The sequence below is a fragment of the Homo sapiens genome, chromosome 1 (assembly GCF_000001405.40).
Source record: "Homo sapiens chromosome 1, GRCh38.p14 Primary Assembly".
Taxonomy (NCBI): domain Eukaryota; kingdom Metazoa; phylum Chordata; class Mammalia; order Primates; family Hominidae; genus Homo; species Homo sapiens.
In genome coordinates this window covers 22,513,590-22,532,345 of record NC_000001.11, presented here as the reverse complement: position 1 = coordinate 22,532,345, position 18,756 = coordinate 22,513,590, and the positions used below count along the sequence as shown (strand labels likewise).

At 48.2% G+C, this 18,756-nt stretch overlaps 1 protein-coding gene across 7 annotated transcripts in view; it reads right to left on the bottom strand.

Annotated features, from left to right (window-relative positions):
• Positions 1-1,191: 1,191 nt before the first annotated feature.
• The window catches only part of ZBTB40 (zinc finger and BTB domain containing 40), a 102,246-nt gene continuing 84,681 nt past the window's right edge, over positions 1,192-18,756 (bottom strand). For 6 of the 7 annotated variants that reach the window (XM_011542499.3, NM_001083621.2, NM_014870.4 and 3 more), the window contains 6 exons: positions 14,882-15,046; positions 12,071-12,285; positions 10,688-10,850; positions 9,883-9,969; positions 7,902-8,128; positions 1,192-6,144 (listed from right to left, as the gene is read on the bottom strand). In XM_011542499.3, the coding sequence (XP_011540801.1) occupies positions 5,950-6,144; positions 7,902-8,128; positions 9,883-9,969; positions 10,688-10,850; positions 12,071-12,285; positions 14,882-15,046 (1,052 nt within the window). In that variant the 3' untranslated portion in view covers positions 1,192-5,949. The remainder of the gene's footprint in view (positions 6,145-7,901; positions 8,129-9,882; positions 9,970-10,687; positions 10,851-12,070; positions 12,286-14,881; positions 15,047-18,756) is intronic. The other variant, XR_946804.2, reaches the window with a different exon arrangement.

The following is an 18,756-nucleotide window of genomic DNA, read 5'->3' as shown; positions in this document are numbered from 1 at the left end:
TCACTGGATGTGTCCCCACCCAACATTCCCAGGTTTCTGCCTTTACTCAGATGCGACCCCTCTGCTGCAGTGCCAAAGAGCTGAGAGCCCCTGTTCCAACCCGGGAGATCCTGTTCCCCTCGTACCACTGTTCACTCTGGCCTGGGCTGGGGTCTCTGGGTTTATGCCTCCTCTTACCCTGGTTTTGGAGACCCTTGCACTGGGTTTCAGACCCTGTTATCTAAGGACACATTAGGTACCTCCTTTCCAGCTGTCCTCCGCCCCAGCTCTTCCTTTCCAGCTGTCCTCTGCCCCAGCTCTTCCTCCAGGCCCTTCTAAAATATTATAAACACGAACAGCCATCATCTACGAAGCGTCTATACTCTGTCAGATATTTTACAAATGTTAACTTTCTTCTCATAGTCACTGTCAGGAAAAACTCGCCCAAGGTCATCTGTCTAGTAAGACGTGGAGCTAGGAAGCTCCCAAGCCCATGTCTTTTCCACCATGCTGCTCAGCTCCTTCCAGCCAGCCACCTTGGCCCAGAAGATCACTGAGGGAACCCCTCGGCCCACTTCCTAGCTCTGCTCAATCCCACCCGACCTGCAGCAGCACTTCACCTCTGCATACCTTCAAATGTGGCTGGGGCCCAACTGTATGTTACAATTACCCACTGCAGCTGGCTGGGACACTCTCAGGACTACTGCCCAAAATATGACATAGGCAGCTCCAGCCCTGCTCTCCAAAGACAGCACTTAGGCAGGGCAGCATTCCTTCCTAAACACACTTGCGGACTCTGAACAAGGGTCCATCTGTGCTCCTCCAGAACTGTCCCAGGAGGAGTGAGCATAGAACCTCCCCAACTCCTCTGCTCTCTACAGCGTCAGGGCTGCGGGATCTGATGCCCCTCCCCTCGTCTTAAACACTGGGTGCTTCCTGCAGAACTCATGTACATCCCATCCGGGTCTCCTGCTCTTGTTTCCTTGTTGGCTGCCAGCAATGTGACATTTTCAGCTGTTCACCAAGAAAGGTTTAGTTTATTTTACAGCTATCTGCTCAGCACTTTGTACTTTCGGGGCAGTTGAGATTCAAGAGATAAATGAAAAGTGGGTGTTATAAGGATCCCTTAAGGCTTCAGAGAGGAAAAAGACTACATAAAGATACAGGAATGAACATTCTCTTTAGTGCCAGAGAATGCAGGGAATAGTTGACTTGTATGCCAAAAACTTTTATTAATAAAAGCTAAAATTTTCTATATTAAATACATTAAATCCAGACTTTTAATTCATACTACAATTCTGTAGGGCAAGCACAATCATTTTCCCCATTTTATAATAAAGTTGGGAGCCAGGAGGAGGGAGCTCAGAGAGAGTAAGCATCTCACACAATGTCAGTTAGACAGCGGGACAGCTGGATGTACCCAGGCTGGACACCAAAGCCTGTGCTCTGAAACCCTGCCCCACACTTGCTCCCTGGGAAGGAGGGTTTAGGAATGAGACTCCAAGTGACAGGAGAGCTTTCTTTCCCCCAGGCCATGTTAACACGGCCTCAAGGTACACAAATGGCCCCTAGGACACCAGGCCTATCACCCCTGTCCCCGTCTGACACTGGCCCAGAACCAAAGAGAAAGCAGGTCTATAACATCACAGTCCATTTGAAACTCATGTAGCCTAATTTTTTTCAAAGTACATATTTTATTTATATAGATTAGTGCAAGCTGAACAAGAATATGGTTTGTAATCCAATTTATACAGCATCACGTAGTGGCTGACTGTCCTGACCATGGGTGGAAGCAGGGATGACTGGCCTTGGTAAAGGAAATGACACACATTCCCCCAATTTGGAAGCAATCTTAATTAGCCAGGGAGTGATTTTTTTCCTTCAGCAATGTAGTCCCCAAAGTACAGACAGCTTCTCTCTTCCTTATAGGCCGAGTCGTAGGAGTAGCAAGCTTCTAAATTTTGGCTGTGCCTCTGAGCTTTTGGCCTAAGTCCCACCAGCCCCGAAGTTTCCATGACAACAAAACAAGGATCAACGTGCCTCTGACACTCCCTTCAGCCCCAAATTGTTCTCTTACTCCCATTTTCTTCCTACCTCCCAAGTATCACTGGGATACAAGCAGAACAGGGCTGGGGTGCTGAACTCACCCTTGGGGAGGACTCATTATAGCATCCCTGCTTTTTCTCCATTATCGTCCAACTGCCTAGGCCCAATTTAATAACATGCTGCTTGTCTCCCTGGAACCGCCTGCCCACTCTATACATGGTTAGCACTTCCCTCCCTCCTTTGGTCAATGTGCAGCTTCCAGGCACGTGAGGTTTAAACACACACCCGCCACCCCATTAGCCTGTCTTCAGCTTGTGGTGACCACGTCACCAGCCCCCAGGTGAGAGACGAACTCTTAGGGCCCTTCTCACCATTCTCCTTCCTTTCTGGGAGTCCCTGATTGATCCCGCAAATAAAGGGCAGGGACCTGTCTCCCCACTGTCTGTCTGACTGGATTTCTTTTCACCCCTCAGCCCCGATTATCAGAACTCTAGCCCGAGGCATGAAGCTGACATGCCTTCCGTGGTCAGTGGGAAGTCAGAATGCTTCCTCAGAGGAGACCTGGATTGCCAGGGAAACCTGGTACTCACACTGCAGACCCTGCTACTCACTGGGCTCAAAGTTTCCCAAACACAGAGCTTCTGAGACAGAAGAGAGAGGCTGTCTCTTCATGTCTCTTTACCCATAAAATAAATGAGTAAAGACCCCTGGTCCCTGCCCCTCTGGTTCCAGGTTCTGCTCATGCGCGTGGACAGTAGGAGTCTCACCTTCCCGCAGTAATCCTTGCTCTTGAATCATCTATTTGCTGTCTCACTTACCTATGATGGGCAAGTCCTGTTCCATAACTGACCCCAGTATTCCCACAGAATCACACTCCAGCCTGGAATCTGACTGCCTTTCCCTCCTCACCACCTGGGCCATGAGCTCTGGGAGCAGAGGTCTGGGGACCCACCGAACAGATCCATGTGTTCCAAGAAGCCCACAGACTCCTTCACACCACCCCAAAGGCCCCAGAGTTCAGTCCAGAGGCCATAAGGGCAGCAGCCTATGGGGAACGAGGCAAAAACAACACCGGGACCCCATGGAAGCGAGCGATGTGGACTCAGGAGACCACACAAACACTGTCCTCTATGGCAGCAATTCAGGTCTCTTGGGCAGAAGTAGGAGAAAAGGATAAAATGGCCAAGCAGAGTCAGAAAGTTTTCCTATAAGATCCATGCCTGGGCTTCTCTAGAGAGCAAGACTATAAAATCAGTCAGCCAGTGCGGAGCCCACTCAGAGCAGACAGTAAACTCGGGAAGGGCCTTCCCCTCTTTCTTGATGAGAACCAGCACTGGGTTTGTGCCTTCTGCTGAGTGTGCCATGGGCCAGAGGGCATCTGATGGGCCCCGGCAGCCAGTCCACTCTCGGCACAGTAAGCTGCAAATCTGGTGATTCCGAAGAAAACAAATGTCTTGTCACAATCTGGGTCTCCAACAGAAACCTGGCCAGGCGTAGTGGCTCATGTCTGTAATCCTAGCACTTTGGGAGGCCCAGGTGGGAGAACTGCTTGAGCTCAGGAGTTTTAAACCAGCCTGGGCAACATGGCGAGACCCTGTCTCTACAAAAAAAAAAAAAAATACAAAAACTGGCCAGCAGTGGTGGCTCACGCCTGTGGTCCCAGCTACTTGGGAAGCTGTGGCAGGAGGATTGCGTGAGCCCGCAGAGGTTGCAGTGAGCCAAGATCGTGCCACTGTGTTCCAGTCTGGGTGACAGAGCAAGACCCTGTCTCCCCCAAAAAAAGAAACCTGAGAAAGAATTTCTCAGTGCTTGAAAGGATCTGACACTGGAATTCAAAATTTACAGCCCTCTTTATTCCGAAGAGTTTTTTTTGTTGTTGTTTGTTTTTTCTTTTTAAATCACTTCCCTATAAGCCCTCAGCAATTATTTCTAGTTTTGTTTTGGAAGAAATTTTAATGACATTCACTGCAACTCCCAAGCCCCATCCCACAGCTTGTGAGGGGCTGGATTCTCATCCACTGGACTTGGCACCAATGCCCTGTAAGCATGTGCCACTCTACGATCTTTCAGTGGGTTTTCTCTGCTGCCAAGGGGATATTCAGTGCCATTTTGCCACCTGCAGATCAAGAGCTCTCCCAGACTGACAGTTCCCAGGACGGAAAAGCCTTAATACAGGCACAGCCTTGGTAGAAACAGTGAGCCCTTCACATGGAGATGAAGTCTTAAAGGTTTGAGCACCATCTTCTGGTCAGTTTTTGGCTTCTGAGGCCGACTCTGCTTTAGAAACTTCATTTATTTCAGAATGGCAGAACCCTAATTGACAAGCTCAAGTGATCTGCGTATCAAAATGTGGACAGGACCAGAAGCAGGTGTAGTCGGCTGGGATGAGCTGTCCCAGGCTGGCCGGAGCTGGCGCTCGCTGTGGAAACCGTCGGGGCTGCCTGCACAAAGCCGGCAGATGCCAGTCAGTGGGCGTGCTGGTCAGTAAGGCTGTGCCTTCTGCGCTTCAAGCAGGGTGAGACCTGACCATGTGGGAGCAATAAAAGCTTCCATGGTGACCAAACGTGACTCCTGCCTCTGTACATGGCAATGTGAGATGTGCCTGGAAGGAAGGGGTGGCCCCATCTCTGCCAGTGTGGGATCCAACCAGGCACTCCCCTCCACAGGGGGTCAAGCCACACAAGGTGGCAGACAGCCCTGCCTGGTGTGTAAACACCGCACCAGCAGACTCCAACCTTTGGCATGGAAGGAAAAGAAGATAAATGCTAGTCATTCTCTCCAAACGGCAGGAACCTACATCTATCTAATTGCACTTCATAATGGATTCCACAAACCATTAATTATCAGATTATATTTTAGGAACTGAAGATAAAAAAAGCTTTGTGAAATTCAAACTCCAAAGGATCACTGACCTGCAATAAGTGTGGCGGCCTGCGGGAGGTGAGGCAGCAGGCCACTCACAAGGCAGGGAGTGGGCGGCAGCAGAGCCACGGGCAGTCACGGCTGCTCCTCCACACGCAGACAGGACTGCCTGCCTGGTGCTGGTCACAGTCTGCACCATATGACCCAGAGGGAGCCAGGCTGCCAGGTCAGGCAGAGATTTCAGCCTTTGATTAAAGGAAGGGGATGAAGATGACACGGAAGAGCTGTGGGAACCAGGCTTCAGGTAAGGAATACCAAGAAGAATGTCCTGGAAAGGCAGACACTGTCTAGCAGCTGATGCCTCACATTAAACACTTCCAGCAGAAACTCCAGAGCTTTGTTTTGGGAAGAGCTGACAACTGACAAGGGGTTATCAGGCATGGAAATGAGGGCTACCTGTCCTATAGCCATCAATAGGGTGCTGGGCGTGGCCACTGGGTGGAGGGGGAACCCCAGCAGAGGGTAGGATGATAGGACCGAGGAAGGGGCCAAGTGTGCCTCAGGAAGGGGCCTAAGGTCCCCGAATTGTCTGTTGGTGCCCCTCTCACTTTAAATGGCCAGAGGCAGTGGCAGCATTTGCAGCCCCCACTGTGGGCCAAGTCCCATATCTAACTGCCATTCTGCCCACTGAGCGCTGTCGGCACATCATGCCTCCTGGGGTACCCTGGTCACCAGCTCCCATCCCACTGCTCTTTCAGACTCTACTTCTGAAGCCACATGTCACTTGGGGATGGACAGTGTCATAGAGGCCGCAGCAGCGGGCCTGTGGGGAGGGAGGCCTGTCTGCTACAGAGGATGGTGCTGTTGGTGTTGAGGGCTCAGATGCTGTTGGTTCTATGAGAACAACGAAGCTTCCATCTGTTTTCTAGGTGAGACTGTGTTGGTTGGTGCTAAGCTAAGATGCTCACCACTCAGGACAGCCAGGGATGGAGGGCAAAGGGCAAGCTGTGGGGCCTCCTCTCTGCTGCAAACGCAGGAAGGCTCTGCCGGATGAAAGGCTGCTCATTTGGCCTCACCACAGATCAGCGTCACTGTGCCATCCAGCAAGTCCTCCACAGTCACCGCCACGAGCTCAGAGCTGGCCTGAGATGCCTGAGAATCTGGCAACGTCACAAACACCTGCGACCCGGCAAGCTGGGTCTCCTCCAAAGTGATCACCTGCTCTGTCGGGGCCACCGGCTCTGGGGTTTGGATCACCTGAAAGAGAAAGACCGTGAGGCTGCTCTGGGCAGTGTTCACAGTTGGCTCCCTGATTTACATGGTTTTCATCTCATGCTGTAATGATGATATTTATGTTTTCACCTGAGGAGAGCACTTACATGTGCCTAATGGGAAGAGGCAAGTCTAACCCACTGGCGATGCAAAAGAGAAGGCCAGCAAACAATTTAAATAACTGTGCACTAAATTGCTATAATTTTGCTCAGTACGCCATCTCGGGGCGCCCGGACTCTATGATTATACACCAGCGAACACTGGCTCTGTTTTTCACACTGGGCTTTCCTGTCTTGGGATGACACTGCAGAGGTGAGTGCCATGTGAGAGGAATGCCACTGAAGCCAGCTGGTCTCATGCCTGGAACATGGGAATGGGATTGATCCACCACAGGCCCAGGTGGGCCCGGGGCAGCCTCTCTGGACCTCTCGCAGGCTCACAGCCTTCCCAGGAGGCCACACAGTGACCGAGCTTAGGAGGAAGACTGGATGAACTGTGACTCCACGCATTCATTCAGCTCACCAGCCTGGCGGGGCCAGTGCCCCCTTCTCTCCTCCACAGCCCACCTATGTCCCTTCCAAATCTGCATAATCTGTTAGAGACCACCTTTCCAACTGAGAGAGAATGAGTCTGTGGTTAGGCATATCCAATTCCCGCCTAAGCCTCCCAGTTGATGTTTCTAACCCATAGATCCCAGAAGAGCTAGATGCCCTTGATATTTTTAAACTAGAGGCCACAGCCACCTTGCTCTTGAGAATCAGTGAAGAGCAGAGAGCAGGAACAAGTGAGGAAGCCAAGCCCAGCTACTTCTCCGTGCTACAGGAGAGAAGAGATCAACTGTGATGTTCAATCAACAATGATCCAGGATAGTAGTTTTCAAACTGCTTTTCTTTCTTTTTCTTTTAGAAATGGACGCCCCAGCCCCACCTTTTCCCCAAAGGACATATTATCAAGAACCATAATATACAAAAAAGATAAAAGCAGAGCACCTTTGGTTGATATGACAGCAGAGTGTTGGCGGGAGTCCTGCCTACCTGACTTCCCCTCTGTTCCCCAGAGGCCTGTAAGAACCTGGTTTATAAATGACTGATCTGGAACTGGACAGCGGGACAGTCTAACAGACCAAAACCTCAATCAGTTTATGGTTCCTCTCCAACCCACCCACAAATTACTGACGATGGATGGACCTGAATTTATTTTCCTTTTCTGCCCACCCTCTCTGGAGAAGATGGGAAGAAGAGTAAAAGAGGATCTGGGAAGCAAAGGGAAGCTGGATCAAGCTTAGCCCTGAAGCATCAAGAAGAGGTGGTTTTTTTGCCCAGGTAAAGGTGAGAGGCCCAGGTGTGTGCAAGTGTGTACTGTGTCCTGCCCAGAGGCGCTCTCCAAGCACTTCAACTGCAGGCAGTCCCTGCCCAACAAAGTGTTCCTCTGTCTCCGAGGTTTCCCGCAGTTCTCACCACACCCCACGGTGTTTCTCAGGAGGCAGGGACGTATGCACTGGGAGGAGGAACCAAGCTGTTCCTCTTTTGGAAATTATTGTTCCAGGCTCCCTCTACCTAAGGGCCACTTCCCATGTGGCCACCAGGAGACTAGAATTTTCTGTTCTGTTTTGTAAGAAGTCCAGAGAGACTCTCTACAAGATCCCCAAAGAGTATCTCTGGGTACTATGACAGAGCCACCTCTAGAGAAGCCTTAGGAACCATGCATTAGCATTCTAATGTAGCTGATGGCCCCAGAATCACCTGCGCCATCTGTGAGGCTGCGGCCTGGGTTTCCGTGCTCATCACCTTTGGGTGCTCAGATTCCAGGTGACTGTCAAGCTGGGCCTGGGAGGTGAAGAGTTCCCCACAGAGCTCACAGGGGAAGGTGGTCTCTGACTGCTTGAAGTGCTCCGTGGTGACATGGTGCTGCAATGCTCCAGGAAAACGGAAAGTAGCAGCACAGTACAAGCACCGGAATGGCTGGGACCCTGGAGGAGAGGGAGACAGAAGGGGAGGGCTGTGGGTAAAATTCTCTGGGTAAAATGAGAGAAATGAGGGCAGGAAGACATGAGAGGAAAGAGCAATGAGGATCGAGGCTTGGAGGCGGATCCACATTTTGTGGGACACGAACGTTATTCAATCTGGGGGGCCTTAAGAAAAATAATACAAAATGACAAGGACAGAGCCTTGGAAGGGTCCATGCAAGTGAGGGGCCCTGAGATGACAGTTTCATTAGTATCAGATTCAGGCCAAATCTGCCTCTGCAGAAGCCCATTATTCATTCAACTGCAGATAAAGATGCTGACGATACTATATTTCATCAATTCTAAGAAATACATTTTAACATCTCTGAAGTAGGATCAATGGCACCTTATGACTTCTGTGGGCTAAGGCAGTCAGGTGCAATCGTCAATGCGCACACCAACATCAAAAGTGGCAGCATCAAGACTTGCAGAATGGGCATCCACGGCTTGGAAGAAACTCCCTAAGACAGGAATGGTGCACGTTTTTAACTCATGGAAACCAAATGGTTTAGAAGGGAGGAAGTAAGTGATGAAAGGTTAGCTATATTCCCAAAGCAGGAATCAAAAGTAGACTAGTTTTACATAACGCTCAAGAGACCAAAACGAATGGCCTTCAATTCTTGATGGAATCTTATATTATGCGTTCCATCATCAATGTTCTTGATGGCAGAGTAAACACTGTGTGGAAAAACATGCTTGTTGACAATCTGAATTGAACACTACTCTGAGAAGCTGGATTCTTCCCTTAATCAGTTTTTTTATGTTTTCCTTTGTATGTATGCACACTAGAGTGAGTGACATGATAAAAATCTATGTCAAATTAGTCCAAAACAGCACTTAGAATAACGTAGAAATTCTAAGTGATAAGAAAGCACAGTTTAACTGGCAGTAGTTTTTCTTTTTTAATAGTTCCTTAAAAATGGTACATCTTGGCTGGGCGCAGTGGCTCACGCCTGTAATCCCAGCACTTTGGGAGGGTGAGGCGGGCGGATCATGAGGTCAGGAGATCGAGACCATCCTGGCTAACATGATGAAACCCCGTCTCTACTAAAAATACAAAAAAAAAATTAGTCGGGTGTGGTGGTGGGCGCCTGTAGTCCCAGCTACTCGGGAGGCTGAGGCAGGAGAATGGCGTGAACCTGGGAGACGGAGCTTGCAGTGAGCCGAGATCGCGCCACTGCACTCCAGCCTGGGTGACAGAGTGAGACTCCATCTCAAAAAAAAAAAAAAAAAAAAGGTACATCTTATTTAGTCGAGCATGGTGGCAGGCACCTGTAATTCCAGCTACTTGGGAGGCTAAGTCAGGGAGAATTGCTTGAACCCAGGAGATGGAGGTTGCAGTGATCTGAGATCGCACCACTGCACTCCAGGCTGGGTGACAGAGTGAGACTCTGTCTCAAAAAAAAAAAAAATAAAAATGGTATATCTTATAACTGGAATTGTATTTATTTATTTTTAACTGGCACTTTAGATTTGATGAGTATAGCAATAACAATGACAATCACAGTTACGGCTTAAGGGATGCTTATTGATGCCAAGGCCTTCAGTTTTTCACACTACTCTATGAGGCAGGTGCTACAACTGTTCCCATTTTATAGATGAAGAAACCGAGGCACAGGTTTGTTAAGCGATTTAGCCTAGGTTGCAAAGCTGCAAGTGGTGGAGGGGAGATTCAGGCCCCGAGTCTAGCCTAGAAGTATGCTGACAGGGGTACTGACCTGAATGCTGGCACTTGACATGAACCTGCAGCAAGGCTGGCGTGGGGAAGAGCTCCTTACACTGGTCACATTCATGGAACTTCATATCTGTGAAGTGCATAAAGAAAGACGTGCTGGGAAAGAACAAATGGTTGGCTCTCCAAGGCTGAAGAGTAACAGGGCTGGGGTTGGGGCGATGGCCAATACTTAGCAAGCATCTACCAAGTGCCAGGAATCTTATAACCTATGGTATATTTGTACAATCTAGTGGTAAAGAGCATGAGATCTGGATCCAGACTGCCTGGATGCTCAGAGGGATGTTGTGAGAATGAAATGAGAAAATATACACGAGGTGCTTAGCATGGTGTCTTGCACATAGGAAACACTCTGTAACTGACAGCTGTTGTGATTATCACCAAATTTACCTGCAAAGTAGGTTTTAATAACTGCCATCCTGGAGAGAAGGAAACAGGCTCAGAAAAGGGAAGTCACTTGCCAAGGTCATGTAGCTGATAAGTGCTGGAATCAGGATTTCCACTCAGGCCTGCCTACCACTGAGGCTGACACCCTTCCCAGGTGCCCCAACAAGCTCTCACTCAGGGCTGGTGGGAGCTTACACTGCGCTACGCTTCCAGGTTTGAGAACCACTGCCACTCAAGCTGCTGCTACTGACTGCTGCTGCTACGGACAGGTGCGCTGGGGCAGAACAAAGGCAATGACCACTGCACATCACACTAGACTATTAGAAGTGGGGATTTCTGGTGGGGCCCAGGAGGCTACACCATCAAGCCCCTCCCGCTCTCTGCCGGCGGTACCCAAACTCCACCTGCATGTTCTGCTTTGATGTGCTTCTTGTGCTCAATGGTGTTGGGGAAGGTTTTGTCACAGGAGCTGCACTGGAGTGATGAGAACTTGGAAGATCGGTGGTTCTGAGCAGCAAATACGTCAGGGTGGTGGGTTCGATTGTGGTACCACAAACCAGACAATTGCTGCAAGGAATTTGGCAAGTGTTAGGTCTTAGAAAGTTCCAGCAAGCTGGAGAGCTCACGAGGCTCTCATGAGAGAAAGAAATACATTTTTGGATAAGCTGACGTTTCTAGTATCACACACTCTTACCTATCACACCGGGTGCTGATGTGAGGAAAGCCTGGTGTTTGTGAGAATAAGGCAACTACATATTCATTGAGAAGCCACTACAGGGCAGGGCTCCCAGGAGTCCTTCACATGCCCATTCCTTACAACAAGCCTATGAGGGAGGTGTTAGAGTCTTCCTAGCGAGCTGGAAGCGGAGACACCGAGGGGTTAAATGACTAATCATAACATCAGGAGATAGCAGGACCAGGATTCAGGCCCAGGCCTTCCAACTGTAACACCTGTGTGCTTTACCAGTGAGCTGCATCTCACGGCTTCCCAGGGAGCTGGGGCACAGCCGAGCAAGCTGCTGGAGGAGTGCACACTGCCCTTGCCCCATAAGCAAGAGTCCCTCTCCTTCCCAGGTTCCAGAGCAGCACTGGGAATACTTTCCCTACCATTCCACGCCATCCTAGGGCTCAAGCCCAGGTCTCCGTTCTGGAACGCTAATGTCACAACATGAGCGTTGGCACAAAGTTAGCTCTCAGTTTTTGCTGAGCTAAAGTTAGCAGTTATGCTTCTTTGTCTATACCCAAATCTTATAGATGCCACAAGGACCATTCTTTTCTCTGTAGTTTTAAAGCTTCTGACAGATGCAGTTTCTTTTTAGTTCTATATGGGGCTTCACTTTAATTACATATCAAATCCTAAGGTAAAAAGGCTGAGCCCTTCCCTGTGAGTTAAACAAACACAAACTAATTGTGCCAAACAAGGTAATTCCAGGTAGTGTTCCACTCCCCATTGCCGCTGTCATGCCCATTGACACATGGGAGCAATGGGTTCTATGGAAGGTGAGCATCCAAGGGGAAAAGCAGCATTAGTTCACGACAAGTCTGCTGTCTAAGAGAAGAAGCGTATGAACTCTCTGCTCCAATAATGAGCTCCCCCACTGCAGCACTCCGACCAGATCTCCTTAGAGAATCTGGATCACAAGCTGCATCCTTCATGAGAATCAGCCAATTGTCACATCCTGGATACAAGATATGATCTGCAAGCCACCAACCCGGGCATCAGGGAAGATCAAATGGAGAGTAGGTCAGGGGTGAGGGGAAGAGCTCCCAGTGGCACCTGAGGTCACCTGGTAGGCCTTGTTGCAGATCCCGCAGCTGAAGGGCTTCCCTCCAACGTGGGTCACCACGTGCCGCTCCAGCATGGACGGGGCACTGAAGATCTTCCCACACGTGGGGCAGGGGTGGTACTCTTTGGAGTGCACCTCATGGATGTGCTTCCGGTGATCCTGAAGAGTGGGGAAACTCATCCTGCACTTCTTGCAGTCATAAGGATCTTCTATGTCTAGTTTCACGGGACATCCATGAGAGGAAGAGGTGGAGAGGAAAAGAAAACACCATAGGCAGCCATCAGTGAAACACTGGTTGTTGTGTACAGCAACAAATGTGAAGACTCTGCTTTACGTAACAGGCAGGGTCATAGACTCCAAGGATCAGAAATCAGTGTAGCAGTCACCTGACTACCCCCACCTTCATCCTAGGAGGTGGGATTCCTCCAGGGTTTCAAGACTAACTGTCTCTGCAGCATCATGTAGTTCATCTCCATTCCTCATTTTACATCTTTCAAGTTAAATTACACTTTATCACTTTCCAGGGAGTTTCACCCTGGCTCGTCCGGTTTGCAGTGGGCATTCTGGAGTTTTCTAATTCTCTGTAGAGGATTTCCAGCACACTCCCCAGAGCATCACTAATTCCTTTGTCATCAACAGCACAAGTGGAGGGATGCTTCCTTTCTCCCCACTTTAGATTCAACAATAAAAACATTAGCATAATGAGTGCTCTATGACAGGCATATTCTAAGTGCTTTATGTAAATTAACTCACTTAATCCTTCCAATAACTCTATGAGTAGGTTCTATTATCATCCCTATTTTACAGATTAGGAAAATCAAGGTTTAGAGTGGTAAGGCAGTATCTTGCCCATGGGCATAATTAAGAAATGGCTGAACTGAGTAACAATCCCATCTCTCACTCCCAAATCCATGCTGTCTGAGAGCTACATGCTTGATTGGATATGCCAACCCTTCAGTGAGACCCCCACAATAAAACTAGTAGTGATGAAGAATACATTTGCCATCCTATGGCAGGAAACTTTGGTCTTTTTCTTAAAGCAACAGAAATCAAAATGTTTTAATAAAATCCTTTGCTCACAAGCCAATCTTTTATGTGCATTGATTCAGATTAATTCAGGAATTCTGACATGCAGCAGCATTCGGTATCACTAACTAGTTTCCCTGTGGACATGAGCTCTTGAAATCTCAGTTTTACACCATCTTCTAAGACACTTTGATGCAGCTTTCCATAAGCAATGATGTGGTTCTATGAAACAGGCAAGAAATGGGAGAGAGAGGGGGGCCTGGATGCTAGGCCTGCCACGGATGATATAGTTTAGGGTATGGCAAAGTATTCTGGGTCTTCTCCCTTCTGAAAGTTAATAACGTCTTCCCCTTTCCTGACGCCCAGGTAATGCTACTGGGAAAGGAAGACTAAAGCAGAATGTCATTAAAGAGGTCAAGAGGACATCAAAATTGTGGCACTGGATCCAAGCCAAATCTCTCATCTGGAAGCCTACTGTAACTGGATTTTTTTGGACAGCCTTGTAAACTGCTTGGAGGGAAAGGGCCACACTTTATTTTCCCCCTGCATCACCCAATGTCTAGCCACATGCTGGGCACATAGGAGCTTTGGCAAAGTCCTTGCTGGCTGGCTGACGACAGACTTGGATGTGTTTACATAAAGCGCACTTGTGAGACACTGTATCTGCCAACAGCTAGAAACTGGTGTGTGGGAAGAGGGGTGGGGAGGGAAGAAGAGCATGTGAGATGCAGGGCATGCAAAAAAGACAAGTTTTGATGGTGACAAATGGCATCTGAGAGGGTTGCTCTTGTCACCAATAATAACAGTATCTGGCATTACTGAGCATTTTCTATGTGTCAGGCGTGGAGTGTCATGCTTTACATGTGGTCTCATTTAATTCTAATTACAATCCAAGGTGGTGGCATTATTATTTGCTCTAGTTTACAGAAGGGGCATAAGAGGCTTAGAATGGTAAATAAATTTGTTTAAGGCCTCAAGAAAAGTAAGCGTCAGGGTCAAGATTCAAGTCCAAGCCTGTGTGATTCCAGACTCCAAGCTCTTAACTCCCCTGCTGTGCTGTGCTGTGCTGATTACACTCCTGCTGCAACAAGAGAGGCTGAAGAAAATGTGATGTGGCCAGCCAAATGCCACGCTGGTGATTTCCCGATGGTGTAATGAGGAATCACGGAATTTCTTTGTCCTTCCTTCCTGTGTGTGTATATATATGTGTGTGTGCCCACGCATGCACGCATGCCGAATAAAAGTGTGTTTCTGTCTGTGTCAGTTCTCACAGAAGGGGAGAAAGACAGGGGCAGACCCCACTAACTGTGTGAAATACAATGGCATTCGGAAGAGAATGCTGGGCGGGAGGTTTTTAAGGAAACATAACCAAGGCTCACTTACGATGGTAGACATTAACTCAGAAAGTGTCTGGACTGCTCCTACGGGAAAAGGCAAATGGAAGATGGCCTAATGGAAATATTCCAGTGCTCTGTGAGCCAATCAGTTACAGAGGCTTTCTCCTTCAAACAAAATTTGCCTCTGTTGGACAAATGGTGCCAGGTGGGCTAAAAAGGAAGACAGGGAAACAGCCTGGCCAGAGAGAAATAAGCGTTATATGAGATACCTTAAAATGAGATTCTTCCTGAACTAGGAATGAGGGACTCTGGGTTTTGCAGCGGAACAGGTAAGGGGAATGCACTGAATGGAGCTTGGGTCTGATGGATTGACACCTCTGCTGCAATTGACACGCTTTCCCAGTGCCAGGCTGGCACTGAGGGCTTGAGATCCACAGTCTCTACATACTGTGAAAGGTGTGCAGATGGATGGAGAGGCCATTGGCTTGCCGGAAGCCCTTGCCACAGTCTCTGCAGACATAGGGCTTGTCCCCGGTGTGGGTCCTCACGTGGCGGGACAGCTCAATAGACTGGGCAAACACAGCATCACAGTACTGGCATGCATACATTTTCCCTGCAAATACACAGGAGCTTATTAGAGTCAGCACTAAAAATTTATGGCATTGCTACAAACAAAATCTAATTCTACAGCACGTATCAGGGAAATATCATCTGGTAGATGACATTAAAACATCAGGCAGTCTGCAATACGCTGGGTGAGATCTGAGCCGTCTCATCACATGGCACCTCACAAACACAGCCGATCACACGGAAGGTGCGAGTGTGGTTGGACAAAGGAATAAGGACGGAGTTCTCACTGCACAAGACAACCCATCTGTTCATCAGCCACCACAAGTATGGAAGAGCGCACTCTACTCCCGCAACCAGATACATCCCTGTGCCCAGAAACACGTGGGTTTGGATCCCCTGGCGACATACACAGTGTGGATCTGCAACTGTGCACAAAGGTGAGAGTCGTGGATTCAGAGAGGAATGAAAGCCTTCTTCCAGTTGCTTGCTATAAAGTTATTATGTGTCCCTTGGTTTCTATATTTTCACATGCATATAATGAGGATATAATGACCAGACTGCCAAAGATTATTAGAAAATGTGGATAAAGAACAAGTCTGGAGAACTGGCATTTGTGAGAAATGCTAGACCAACTGAACCTCCAAGCTCCCTTATGGGCCGAGAGAGCAAGCAGGGCAATTGGTGAGGCATGGCACCAGAACCCCGGATCCCAGGGTCTACCACAACTAGGACAAGCAGCCTCATTTTCAGTGTTTATGTATTGGGCTGCAAAATAAGACTCTGTTAGGAAAAAAAGGGTTCCTTGAATGGAGAGGTGAAATTATTGAGGAGCCTGGGGCTTAGTCCTTGACGTTCTCAATCCTGTTTCTAGATGATCTCTCAGTGCCTCATACACCATCTGTAATGGATGCCTCCTGTAGTATAGCTCCAGCTCCCACCTTTCCCCAGAACTCCAGACCCATATGTCCAACTCCCCACTGCTCTGCTCTCCACCTGGATGTCTAGTAGGTATCTCCCAATGCATCAAATAGGCCACTATTTGTGGTAATTTGTTACAGCAGCAGGATAAACTAACATACTTCACATAAAAACCCAAAGTCCTCATCTGTTTTGGGAGCTCAAAACAGAGCTTCCAATGCTCTATCCCCATCACCCCCACAGCCACCATCCACACACTCCCCCATCTCAGTAAATGGCAGCATCATTCACTCAGTTGCTCATGGCAAAGCCCCAAAGCCTTCAGTTCCTTTAGTTCCTTTCTTTCCTTCACATCCCACATCTAATCCACCATGAGTCCTGTTACCTCCATTTTCAAAAATATATCCTAAAACTTGAACGTTCTTTACAACCCCCACTAACACAACTCTAGTTGAAAACTATATCACCTCTACACTGAACGGCTCTAACAGCCTTCTGTTTCCCTCTTGCCCTACTATAGCTCATTGTCTGGAGTGGCCAGAATTAACTTCTGAAAATGTAAATTAGATCCTACCACTCATTCTCTGCTCAAAACCCTTCTATGGCTTCATGTGGTAGGCGGGATAATGGCCCCCAAAGATGTCCATGTCCTAATTCCTCAAACCTGTGTGTATGTTACCATACATGGCAAAAGGACTTTGTGAATGTGACTGGATTAAGGATCTTGTGATGGGGGGGTTGTCTTGGATTATCCAGGTGGGCTCAATGTAATCGCAAGGGTCCTCATAAGAGGGAGGAAGAAGAGTCAGAAAAGGAGGTATGGTGATGGAGGCAGAGGTTGGGGTGATGTGGCCAAGAGCCAGGGAATGCGGGCAACGTCTAGGGGCTGGAAAGGCAAGGAATGAGATCTCCCCTAGAGCCTCCAGAAGGAACTCTGCCGAAAGCTTGAATTTAGCCTCACAAGACCCATCTTGGATTGCTATCCTCCAGAATGGTAAAAGAGTATATTTGGGTTGTTTTAGGCCAGCATTTGTGGTAATTTGTTACAGCAGCAGGATAAACTAACACACTTCACATAAAAACCAAAAGTCCTCACCTTGGCTTATAAGACCCTCCAAGGTCCAGCCTTTGCTAGCATCTCTGGCCTTATCTCTTAATGCTCTTCCTCGTTGACTCTGCTTTAGCCCCTTCTAGTTTTCTGTGGTCTCTCATGCAGGTAAAGCTCGTTTCCACCGGGGAGGCAGCTCTGCACTTGGGATGCTCTCCTTCTAGGTCTTTCACTGGCTCCATCTCTCACTTTGTTTAGGTTTCTCCACAAATGCCATCTTGCAGAGGCCTTCTCTGATGATACAAATAGTGTCCCCCAAGCCCTGTCCTCTCACTGTGTACCCTGCTTTATGCTTCTTCATAGTAATAACTGCTATCTAAATTTATACTATATATTTATTTGTTTATTGTCAGTTTTACCCAGTGGGATGTAAGTCCCATGACAGGGGTGCGTATATTTATAATACCCCATGTCTGAAACAATGCTTGTGAAATTCATTCACTCAGCAAATATCGATTGAAGGCCTACTATTGCCAAGTACTAGTCTAAGTCCCATGGATACAGCAGTGGGAAAAGAAAGACTAACAGCTTGCCACTCATGACACTTGCATTCTAACAGGGAAGACTAAGCAGAAATAAATTACTAAAGTAGATACTACATCATATGAGAAGCACTATGGGAGAAAAATACTGCATGGAAACCAGGGGTGGGGTGCTGAGACCTTACAGAGGGTGGCCCAGGAAGGGACTCACAGAGAAGGTAAGTGTGAGTAAGGTCTCAAAGGAGGTGAGGAAGTGAAACGTGAGATGTCTGATGGGAAGCGTCCCCAGCAAAGGGAAGGGTAAGAATAAAGGTCCTGGAGCAGGTGCCTGCGGGCCTGAGGCCTGGCCAGAAAGCTAAAATGTGCAGGCCTAAGAGATGAAGTCAGAGAGGAATCAGGAACCTTAATCACAGAGGGCTGAGGAGGCTATCTTAAGGACTCTGGATTTCACAACTGAGTGGGACAAAAAGCCATTGAAGAATTTGGAGCAGAGAAGTGACCTGATAGGGTTTATTTATTTTTTAAGTATCAAGAGAAATGGTGAAAGCAAGACCAGCTTTGAGGCTACTGTGACAGTCCACGTCAAACAATGGTTACCTTATAATTTATAAAGAAATGCTCTAAACAATAGGTAGGCTGCTCCAAAAAGCCTTCCCTGACAATGTACCTCCTCCTCCCCTCCAACTGGACTAGAGACCCCTTCTCCATCCTTCCTCATCACGCTGGTGTTATTCCACATTATACCGCTGACAATCTGCATTGTAACGGGCGCTACACTCCCCTCTCCCTGCCCCCTTCAGGCCACAAGCTATGGGCACACAGGAATCCCAGCTCAGCCACTCGGCATCTGCCACTGTCTGATCCACGGTAGGTGCTTAGTCAGGGTCCTTCTCATGCTTGAACTCGACTTCAAAGCTCAAATAATTTTATGTAAATTCTCTATAACTTTTAATGGCAAAAACCACAATGACTTTTCCACAAGACCTAATATAAAGTCATAGGAGGTTAGCCAGTCTCTTTCAGAAGCTCTCCCAGTAAGCAGTTTACGTCTGTGCACAGAGCTATTCCCAGTCGTCTGTTTGCCTAGAGGTTGTGCATTGTTTTTTAATTTTATTTATTATTATTATTATTTTTGAGACGGAGTCTCACTCTGTTGCCCAGGCTGGAGTGCAGTGGCACAATCTCAGCTCACTGCAAGTTCCACCTCCCAGGTTCACACCATTCTCCTGCCTCAGCCTCCCGAGT